Source organism: Homo sapiens, chromosome 4 (assembly GCF_000001405.40).
Source record: "Homo sapiens chromosome 4, GRCh38.p14 Primary Assembly".
Classification (NCBI taxonomy): Eukaryota; Metazoa; Chordata; class Mammalia; order Primates; family Hominidae; genus Homo; species Homo sapiens.
The window spans coordinates 24,527,243-24,539,333 of NC_000004.12; the positions used below are offsets into that span (position 1 = coordinate 24,527,243).

Consider the following 12,091-nt stretch of genomic DNA (forward strand, 5'->3'; position numbering starts at 1 on the left):
CTACACACATTTTACCCCTTTTAGATCGATCACATCCTGATTAACCTAACAAAGCGCTAAGCCATGCTCTTAAAAATACTGCTTTAACAGCTACTTTTCCTAAGGAGTACTCCTGGTAGAAAGATACTAAATATGTAGTAACAGTATAATTATAATAATAAAAAAGCTCCACACTTGAAAAACAACTATACTTAGAGACTAGAACAAAGATACCAAAGGGCTTTGGCCAAAATTAGTATAAATAGACTTTATTGAAGTCAGTGCCTCTGTACTGAGACAGAAGATTGTGTCTACATAAGCACAAGTTGTAACATTTCACAACTTCTAAAAGGAATGTCAACAATTACAACGATCATGCATACCATGGTCGATAATCACATTTTAGAAGCATTTTCAACCATTTCTAAAGAAATGCTTATAACATTGTTATATATAGAACTACTTTCAATAAACTGCAAAACATTGATCGACTTTTCCAGTATGAGCTACAGTGTCAACACAAAAGGGAGGCATAAATGTTTAATTTATGAAATCAGAATGGAATATTTACTGTAAAGAAAAATTAAAAAGCTTTCAAATAAAGGCCATTATCGAACCAACGTGAAGAGCACAACTCGAACTTTTGAGTTCATTCATCTTTTAAAGCTGTCCTCTCAATAACTTCAGTTCTAAGCACTGAATTCAGTACTGTGAATATTCCTTGGATTGAAGTTTGGCAATGATGCGGTCCAACTGTCTCTTTGCTTCACACTGTGGGAAATTGCTCATGTCATAATATTGAGGGGCAATTTTCACCAACCTGTTTAGAAGTGGGCAGAAAAATTTCCAAATTAACATTTAATTGAAGTACTGGAGTTGTTAATAGGATAGGCATTATTCATTAATATACTGATGAACCAAGGCAAATCTATGAATTCAAGTCTCAGAAAAATACAAATAACTAATCCTTACAAATAGCACTTTTAGAAATGTGTTAAGTATTTTATTTAGTAAGATGTGAATTTTCTGATGTTGGACTTACCATAAACTTAATAACAAACCCCTCAAGATACATTAATGTAAAGATAACAGATAAAGTCACTGATTTCTTTACTCTGGCACACTATTAATTTGCCACTCCAAGGATATAGTAATATATAACAGGTTCTGTGTAGGAAACATCGTGGTATTCAAATGATTGGATCTTTTCATTTTCAATGTTTTAATAACTGTAACTCTATACCCCCAAAATACACTTGACTGAAATCTTTTATAAAGTTTAGCTATATAATTTTTTTCTCAACAAAGCGTTTAAGATAAAATGGTAATGTCCTACACAATTTAAGTGTCAAAAGTCCCAAATCCGTATAAGAAAGCAGCTGCACAATATAAAGCGGTGACAGCACCTAGAATATGTGCCTTCAGTCCCACTACTCTTGGCTGACATTTCCTGTCATAGGTTATAGAATAGATTCTGGCATAAATAAAACAAAAAACCATGAAGGTGAGGGTTATTTTGCTTAAAATAAAACAATCCGTTCTTACTCTACATTTTGTAGAAGCTAGTATGTTAAAACACAAAGAGCTATCATTTTTATGCCTGCACAGTTCCTAAAAACCAATATATAAATAATAAATAGTTGAGGGCTAATTGTAATGGGACAAAAAAAATGTTAAAAAACAAAACAAAACAAAAAAAAACAGATTTCTGCAAGCAAGAAACAGTACTGACTTGAGAATCACAACAGCAAGAGAATGGCTCCAAAGAAACTCTAAAAATTAAAAAAATTAAAAAAAAACCCTTTTTTAAAAGTATGTCTGAGAGACAGGGTCTCACTGTCACCCAGGCTGGAGTACAGTGGCATGATCATAGCTCACTGCAACCTCAAACTCCTGGGCTCAAGCAATCCTCCTGCCCAGCTTCCCCAGTAGCTGGGACTATAGACGTGCAGCACCACCATGCCCAGCTAATTTTTGTACACACCTATATATCTTTTAGTAGAGATGGATTCTGGCTATATTGCACAGGCTGGTCTTGAACCCCTGGCTTCAAGTGATCCTCCCATCCTGGCCTCCCAGAGTCCTGGGATTACAGGTGTGAGCCACCATGCCCAGCCCCTGAAGAAACTTTTCATGCTATTCAAATGTAACTTCACATTTGGCTTCAAATCCTGCCCATAAATATCAACAATCCCACTGTCCACTTAACAAAGGAAGGGTGTGAAAGATTAATCACACCATCCAGTCAATTCCCTCATACCTACACACTGAAATATAAATTCTCAATGAGTGAATGCAAGGCCATGACTCTAGCAACAGTCAGGTTCCATTTTGAGCAAAGTACTAACAAAAAACTGTTAGAACAAAAGGTGTACTTACCATTCTGGCTTGATATCTGTACATGTCCGGATGTAATTCTTTGTTGTTAGAACAAACTCATTATAAAGCACCCATTCAGGTTTGTGGTCAAGAACAGTAGAGGGATGCAACTGAACCACCTGGTTATCTTTCACAGTTAAGTAATGCCCTGTTCGTTCTAAATGTGCCACCTGAAACCAAAACCCAGTATATTATTAATACAATGCTTCTGACTTGCTAGTTGTAAAGCTACCTACATAATTAGGAAGAGGCAGGCCTCCCTTTTACTTTTCATTCTATGGCTATACTTATTTATCACTGTCTGATAAAAGCAGAGATAAGCAAACTGCTGCCTGTGGGCCAAATCCAACTCATAGCCTCTATTTGTAAGGTCTGTGAATCCAAAATGGTTTATTTATCTTTAATTAGAAAGAAAAAATATCATACAAAAAACATTCCGTGAAGCATGAGTAGCATGTAAAATTCAAACTTCAGTATCCATAAGGAAAGTTTTATTAGAACACAGGCATGCCCATTTGTCTATACCTATTATGCTCCAAGAGCAGGCAGTGTTAGGTAGTTTTGACAAGGACTTCATGGGTCCACAGAGCCCAACATTTACTATCTGATCTTTCCTGCCTGAGACCATCTAGAGCAGGCTCTTCAGCACTGGGCGCCAACTATGAGCAGACAATTACCAGAACATTCATGTCTAAGGTAGAAAACTAAAGCCAGGTGCAGTAATCCCAGCACTTTGGGAGGCTGAGACAGGCAGATCACCTGAGGTCAGGAGTTCGAGACCAGCCTGGCCAACACGGTGAAACCTCATCTCTACTAAAAGTACAAAAATTAGACAAGCGTGGTGGCGGGTGTCTGTATCCCAGCTACTCAGGAGGCTGAGGCAGGAGAATTGCCTGAACCCAGGAGGCGGAGGTTGCAGTGAGCTGAGATCAAGTCACTGCACTCCAGCCTGGGCGACAGACCGAGAGGCTCCATTTCAAAAAAGAAAATAAAGAAATAGAATAAAAAATAAGGTAGAAAACTAAAGAGGGCAAAGAGGAAAAGAAAAAGGTAACCTACAAAGACAGGAAAATAAAAATGGGAAAAAAAAAAGAGCTTGCACGTGCTTCCCTCTCATTTCTTTTTTTGGTAACACCTTGACTGGTGATACTCATCAAAATGGACAGTTCTCCCTTTCCAATTCTAATATTCTGTGCTTAAAGAATGAGCATGAATAATAGAAAAGAAACTCAATTTCATTCGAAATATTTACTAAACACCTATTAGGTGTCAGGTACTATAATGCATGCTGTTTCTAATAAATTTTTTGTTTGTTTTTAAAAAGAGATAGGGTTTTCCTATGTTGCCTGGGCTGGCTTCAACGCTCCTTGCTCTCCACTCAACTTCTCTAGTAGCTAGGACTACAAGCACACTCTGTGGTGCCTAGCTGTTTGTAACAAATTTTAATCTACATAATTAAGAAGTATAATGCTTGAATATAGTTTCATCAATTTTTTTTTTTTTTTTGAGACGGAGTCTCGCTCTGTCGCCCAGGCTGGAGTGCAGTGGCGCTATCTCGGCTCACTGCAAGCTCTGCCTCCCAGGTTTACGCCGTTCTCCTGCCTCAGCCTCCCGAGTAGCTGGGACTACAGGCACCCGCCACCGCGCCCGGCTAATTTTTTGTATTTTTAGTAGAGACGGGGTTTCACCATGTTAGCCAGGATGGTCTCGATCTCTTGACCTCGTGATCCACCCGCCTCGGCCTCCCAAAGTGCTGGGATTACAGGCGTGAGCCACAGCGCCCGGCCAGTTTTTTTCTGAAATATAAAAAGCAAATTTAAGAACATGTCAACCCAGGCCTGGTGGCTCACGTCTGTAATCTCAGCACTTTGGGAGGTCGAGGTAGGAGGATCATTTGAAGCCAGAAGTTCAAGATCAGCCTGGGCAACGTGGCGAGGCCCTCTCTCTACACACACAAAAAGGCAAAAATTAGCTAGGCATAGTGGTGCGTGCCTGTAGTCCCAGGAACTCAGGAGTCTGAGGTGGGAGGATCACCAGAGCCCAGGGAGGTAAAAGCTGCAGTGAGCCGTGATTGCACCACTGCACTCCAGCCTGGGAGTGAGACATTGCCTCCCTCACCCCATCCCCTCCCCCTAAAAAAGAACAGAACATGTCAAAGAGAAGCCAGTACAACATATCAAATATTAAGAATATAGTTAAGAGTTTCAAGAAAGAATGCTCATACCTATCATTCACCAAACTCTAATAAGCCTATTATATAATAAGATGCCACAATAAACACTGTGTTACTTAGATTCAAATACAGACATCTCACCAATCTCCTTTGATTTTTGATTCTGAAACTGAGTGTCCTCAGGCTCATATTCTAGCTACTGAGCCCATCTGGCCTTAAGGGTAAGCCACATCGTGCTTAAAAGACACAGCCAAAGAGAGAATGAACAAACAGAAAAGAGATAGAAGAGACTTATCCCAAATCAGGTGATTTGTTTTCAATTTTATCACCACAAAATTTTCTTGCATTTTTCTCAAAGTTTCTCTTATTTTATAAACACCTTAAAATAACTGTTCACAGTATTTACTTGACAAGTTTTACTTCTGTTCTTATAGCCGTTAACACAGCATACTTAAACTAAATAAAACCTTTTAAATTATGTTTCATCTTTATTGCTACTCAACAGACGTTTTTGGCTTTTGCAGTACGCAAGGGTCTTGGTCATAATTACCAATGATCACTCTGTAGAGGACTGTAAATGAAATCCACGTATTTGAATATTTGAATTTGGAGGTGCTTAGTTTTTAGATAAAGACTAAAGCCAACTGTATGTACTTTTGGATCCGCTCAATTGCTTCCTTTTAGTACTCTGTTATGACAATGTATTTCCAATTAAGCCCTAGATTCAGAGAAACTTTAATGCACTGATCAATATTCACATTCCTGAAGAAACAGGTGCCTAATCACATCTGAAAGTAGCCAAAGTTTCCATTTTGTATAACAAAGGCTCTATTAATAAAATAATTCTAAAAACGATTCCTGTATAACTAGACTACCTTAGCCATTTAGTACATTAATTTGTTACTCATTAAATACTTAAAATTTCTTAGTATATTAATTCACTCAAAGAAACTGGATGTACCAACATTTAAGATAAATTTTTATGAGCATGCACAAACTCACTTTTGCTTTTGAGTGGATTCAAAGGACTGTTAATAGAAATCAGTGTCATATGAATACTTAGTTATTCATTCCCATATTATCTACATACCTGCATAAAATACCCAGTAACCAAAGCTTTTCTTATATTAATATAATAGTCCCTGCTTGTAAAGTCAGTACTTCGACGAGGCAAATTAAATCTGTCCATAATTCGAGATAGCTGCTGGCGTACATTGTCTGCGGACATCAGGGACCTGTAGTTAATGAAGTTGTCATAACACCACTGAACCGATTCATGATCTAAAAAGGTAGAAGGCGGGGAGAAAAGAAGGCACCATGAATCACCCACACAGGAATGTTCTCTAATTAAAAAAATTGTTATAAAGAATAAGCTAAATAAACCAGAAAGGAGATTTACCCACAACATTTTCTTTAAATGAACTGCAATGTTACCAACTTTCTCAAAGATCTGTAGTGTGATTCAACATTAGAAACAGTAACAAGGCTTTTGGATTTGGATGCCAAAACAATGCTTTTGAATTAACTGTTTTTAGTGAATTACTTCTCCCATTAACATCCACCTGGTTGTTTCCAAAAGATGGTCTATCAGATAAGGGAAGGCTGGAAGTATTTGGTAAAAGTCATGGCCTGTTCATTTTCAATGAAACTACAGCTTTAGATTAAGATAACTGCAAACAATTGTTGTGTATTGTTCTTTATGCCTGACACAGAGCACCTCAGACTTAAAGACGGCAAAGTTTTATTGCGACACACGTGTCTCTCAGCAATTTATGAGCAAGTCCTGAAACAGAAGAAAGTTTACAAGGATGCCCGAAACCTCCACTCATGTTTAATAAACAAGACCTAAGTCTAAGCACTTCAAGTAATTTTATTACATGTATTATCAAAAGGATATTTCTCCACTGATGAATCCTTGATAAGCTTCCAACTAGCCTAGTGTTGCTCACTTAAAGAGCTCAACCTGTAGCATCATGAAAGAAATTTTACAGTGACATCTTTCATGTGCCAAAGACAGTCATGGCAAAGAATTGCATTATTTATTTCAGAGGACCTTTGATAAATAAAACTAACAGGGTTATTGTGAAATGGGAGAGAGAAAACAAAAATTAAAACTGTTGATCCTTCTCTTGCTACTGTGATGTATGCTTATCTTCAGCATACTCTTTTCTCTTTGGTTCTAGGATTCTACCAGTTATAGTGTATAACTCTGCCTTAATGTTTTTTAGACATAACAAATATATAAGTACATTTTTATCCATTACAAAATGCATCCCCATTTCAGAAATTAAGGATGGGTGAGGTGGAGATAGGAAATAGATTTTTGAATTAAAGAATACAATAACATATTAGAACACCCATTAATTAATCCATCTGGAATGAGAAATAAAAGTTAACCATCTGAAGCCATTGACATTTAAATCAAAGCACTGAATATCTTTGGGAGCTGAAACAGCACACCTTAGAGGTAATTTTACTTATGCTGATGCTCTGTAACAAGCTGAAAGGCAGAAAAATGCCCAAGCTGGACAATAAAAAGGCAAATTTTTGAAAAGGTTGTTGATTTGCAGACTATGGCTTGAAATGTAGCTTTTTTGTGTGGTTCTCAATTTTTAGAATTCATGTACTACAGATGGAAAAATTGCAAATCTAAGTTATTTGTTAAGAACAAATGACTAGTAACTAACATCTGATGGTTCTACTGTATTTCTAAACTTGTGAGAAATAATTGGGTAAATGGGAAAATTAAATCTAAAACTGGAAACATTAATATAATTCTAGCTGTTTATCTCTCACCAATACAGTAAACCACCCCTAAGATCTAAAGCCAAACCATTTGTCTGATTTTTAGAGAGAAATCTCCCCTCCCTAGACAGATCAAGGTACTGCAAAATAACTTGAATCTAGTTTTCGATTTCAAAGGGTTATTTACATAAATAGTATTAAGACAACATTTTAATTGACATGACATTTTAGCTTCACTATGTAATCAACTATTGTCTCTAATGCAAAACATCTTGACCAGTATCTGAAACACGCTTTTTTCAAATATACTCAATGTTTCAATTAATAACATACAACCATTTAAAAAGCTTTCGTGAAAATATTCCAAATATTTTCATATCCATATATATATGGATATATCGAAATAATAACACGTGGGGATCTGGCAAAGTTTTTTGCTTTTTTTTTTTTTAAGAGCTTCTCTTATTTGAAAAGGTGGCAATCAGTGATTAAAGGCTAAATCCTCACCTTTAACTAATAAGGACAGCTCTACCAAATGTCAAGTCATCACATACTGCAAACCCCTAAAAACCACCAATGGCTAATCATCCCTTTGGCAGTGAGAGATCATAGTACCTCTCACTAATAATGCATTTCTTGGGCAAACAATAGACTTGAACTTTTCCACCTCTTGTTTACAGGCCACTTGTAGCCTAAGAACCATCATTCATACTTGTCCGTTTTTCTATTTTATTAGTTGTATTTTGATGTAGAAAGTAGTATTTTGATGTATTTATCAGAAATAGGTCATACATCTAGTGAGTGGATAACACCATTTTAACTTACTACATCCCCTCTGACTGAATCTGTTCCTTCTCAAGGCTTTAATAGGTTATGTATCTCTTGGTCACCCAGCATGTTTCGCATAGAAGAGGAATACAGTAGGTTTTTTGAGTAGATCTGTCTAATCAGGGGTAAGTCTTTAACGCTAGGTAATACCAGTATTTGGATACAAGAAAGATTAAATAACTGTTCTAAGGTAAACCATGTGCTGGTCTTCAGCCTGTGGTTTCATAACCACATTTCCCTTAACTCTCATATCTGCCCCCAAGTTTTCTGGGCCTGGGCAGAGAAGGGCTCCATTCTTTCTCACTGCTAGTCATCAATTCTTTTCAACTCATATCAGGGTTCTGGAGTAAGGAACAGATGTAAATCAAGTTAGGTACTACGTCTGGTGCACACACTGGCCCTCTAGCACTTCTGGACCCCAAGACAAATAAATTCACCATCACCCCTACAGAGATGTGCCAAAGTCAACAGGCTCCCCATTTTAAGAGTATAACTGAGATGTTTATGAGATAATAAAAATGAGTTACAAATAAAACCAGACATACAAAATTGGAACGTCAACTTTATAAATTAAGAAACCAATTTCTCATGAGAAGAAACTACAAACTTAGTGACAGAATTCCACATTTTTGGCACAGGGTGATGATGTAGGGCTATCAGTTAAAAAAAAAATGTCAGATCCAGTTGCAATTTCTGTATTTTTTTTCTCCTTTAAATTTATTAAGGTTTCCTCTCAATTTTTGCAAATGGTACATTCCAACAGCAGCAGCTAGCAATAACTTCATTGTTATTATGTTTCCTCATTTACAAGTCACTGACAAATGTTTTTCAGGTCACTAAATATTCTATGATAAGATGATTTAAAGCTAGAACAATTACTTCATATGTCTACAGCATAACTCACAATTTTTCCACTGGTGGGCATTTAGGTAGCCAATTTTTTTTTTACCACCATAAATAATTCTGGTGAAATTATTTAATCAAATCAGTGTCCACAGAATACCAAAAAATAACTTTCTAAATTATTTCTGGGTCAAAGAGTATACAGTTGCTAAAGTTCCTGGTAACATAAAATCAACTTTTCATAAAGACCACAACTAACCCCACTCCCATACAGCTAAGGAATATTTTTCAATATCTGCAAATTTTATGTGAGAAAATGGTAATGCCTTTCATTATCAATAATAATGCCAAAATAATAATGCACTTCTTGGGCTAACAGTAGAGCTGAACTTTTCCATATCATGTTTAGAGACCACTGGTAGCCTAAGAACCATCATTCATACTTGTCCATTTTTTTCTATTAGTTTTATTTTGGTGTAAAAAGTTCTTTATTAGTAAAAATGTTAGAGTAATGATTGTATAAACAATATAAAACTATTCTTAAAAATGTAAAATGCACAGAAATAAAAGTATATAAAAACGTGTATGTTAGTGATACATGTTATACAAGTCTGTCATTTTTATCACTGTTATTTTTCAGGTTTTCTACAATTGGTGCTTTATCCCCTGATTATAAACATAAACAACTTTGAAAAAGATTGGCAATTTCTATTTTAAATGCTCGTCAGGAGTTTTTCAAAAGTACCTCTGGGTTTCTAATATAAGTTGTCACGGATAATAAATCAAAGTGGGACAAAGAAACATCTTATACACTGCAAGTGACATTTAGACAAGAGTGTCTCCAATCAAATTTACACTTACTTTGTTTAAAAGCATGGTAGACGTTCAGCAGTGTCAGATGATCTCCATCTATGTGGGCAAATCTCATCTTGGCCTCATCTGCGGCTTTCTTGGCCTCCGTGGGGCGAACAAAACACTGTGGGACTAAACAAGGTTGGTATGGGCCCAACACAAACGCCCATATCGATGAGTCACGCATTCACAGATAGAGGAACAAGGCCTAGCTAGGTCAGTTCACAGAGCATAGGGCAGGGCAGGATGGCCTCCAACTGCATCTTGGATTGTTTACTACCTTGATTTGGTACATCAACACCTAACCACATCTGTAAGACAAGAGGGTTTCAAAGCTACAGAGTACCTGATTATTTTAACTAGATCTAAAAGTAGGCATCAAAACAGCTATTCTGAAGGCCATCAGGATACTAAAAAGCTCAACTTATTTAAAAAAACCAGTGCTGATAGCTCTACCAATAACCAGAATAACGGTGTCAATTGCCTTTTAGCTAACTGTAATTTTTCAAAAGGGCATCCACTAAATCTACTGAATGGCTGTGAAAGTTAGGAAGCTATGCTTGCCCACTGCAGAGCTAACAACAACTTTGAAACCAGTCTACTGCCATGTTTCTATCAGAATTTTTTCCCTAATACTGTGGCTATTACCAACTGGTGGGTATCACTATTAGCACCGGTGAGCAGAAGCATATGTAAACATAAAAATATCAAGAATTCTTGGGTTTGGATGATAGCAGTAGTGGTGGAAGGTTAAACCGCCTTTGAATTAAGAAAATTCAAAAAGGCTGGGATATTCAGCCTAGTGTTTCAGCATTTTAACAAAAGGATTAGAAAATAAAGTCCCAAATTTAAAAAAGAAAAAAAACAAACTTATTTGAATCAAAACCTCAATATAAAAGCAAAGTCCAATATTTCAAAAGTTGACAATTAGTCTGAAACAATCATATCAAGGGTCATCAAGATATGTAACTACAGTTATTTGTTTAGAGCCTCAATATTAATTCACATAAAACTTTAAATTGTTACAAAGCATGTACTACATTTTTTGAAATACAACTTTCCTTAATTCAGTTTAGCAATTCCATAGTCATAAAAGCAGTATGAAAATAAAAATACTTAACAGCTTGGGACTTTTTCAACACATTTTAAAAGCTCTTAAAACCTTGTCAATGAAAAAATTCATAAATTATCGGTTCGGATAGAAGATAATGGGAATAATCAACAACAAGATAAAATACAGTATCATATTACTCTTTCCCATACAGTTTCCCCTTTAAAAAGATGCCAAAATAGCCAAATAGTGACAACAAAACATGATCATAATAAATATTAAAACTCTTGCTTAATTTAATTGAAGCAAGGTAATTCATAAAAGCACACAAACTTCTCACAGCTGTGAATTTTAATGTGAACTAGCCACTAGAGTTAAGTGGGAATAAATAAGTAGTGCTCTCAAAGGCCTCTAGATTTGCACTGTTAGTATCAGGACCTCAAAACTTCAAAAACTATTTTAATGTCAAACAAAGCATTACAAGCTCAGCAAACTATTTTTTATTCCCTGACTTCTTACTTGCCTCTTATTTCAACACTTTTCCTATAAATGGACCATTTAAAAACAGTCCATTTACATTGCTGCACATAAATGCTCATTCTCCTGACAAACTAAAGGTTTTTATTTGTAATAAATAAAAATAAGTTTTTTTTAATTACAAATAAAACTGAGATGTAGTTGGAAGATTACAACTACATCACAACAACAAACTTCTTAAAGAGCTAATATTCTAAACTCAAACAACAGTAATCATGTAAGTATATCTGATAAGAGAACCTAGAGAAATAAAAACTAGGCAGATAGACAAGTAAGTACACAATCCATTAGTTCTTGCCCCACACTTTCTCTAAAAACTAAAATCTTGGGAGAAGTACAACTGGGAGAATCTATAAAACAACATATAAGAAAGGCAGACAACAACCTACCACCACCTCCGCAAATGAAGCTACAATTTAATTAAAGTGACTCAATACTGCCCTGCCCATCTGCTCTGAGTCTGATCAGTCATAACTCTGCAAGAAAACATTTTAGCTACTTCTTAAATAAAAAATTCACACCATTAGAATATACCATACGTCTAAACTAAGCCATAATTTTACATTTAAATTTTTTTCAATTTATCCTTTAATTCCACAGAATATTTTGAAATATTTGCAGCATTAAGTTCAATAAACCACTCAGCAATAGGGAGTCAGTTCTCTCCCGTGCTAAAACTAGTAGCAGAGAATATTTTAATCGTC

At 35.9% G+C, this 12,091-nt stretch overlaps 1 protein-coding gene across 3 annotated transcripts in view; it reads right to left on the minus strand.

The window, feature by feature from the left end:
- Positions 1-232: 232 nt before the first annotated feature.
- DHX15 (DEAH-box helicase 15) overlaps positions 233-12,091 on the minus strand; it is a 57,080-nt gene continuing 45,221 nt past the window's right edge. The window contains exons 11-14 of one of the 3 annotated variants that reach the window (NM_001358.3): positions 9,809-9,931; positions 5,622-5,812; positions 2,359-2,528; positions 233-799 (exon numbers count right to left, since the gene is read on the minus strand). In NM_001358.3, coding sequence (NP_001349.2) covers positions 682-799; positions 2,359-2,528; positions 5,622-5,812; positions 9,809-9,931 — 602 coding nt within the window. In that variant the 3' untranslated portion in view covers positions 233-681. Of the gene's footprint in view, positions 800-2,358; positions 2,529-5,621; positions 5,813-9,808; positions 10,111-12,091 lie in introns of those variants that run through there. The other 2 variants (XM_047449698.1, XM_047449699.1) reach the window with 2 other exon arrangements.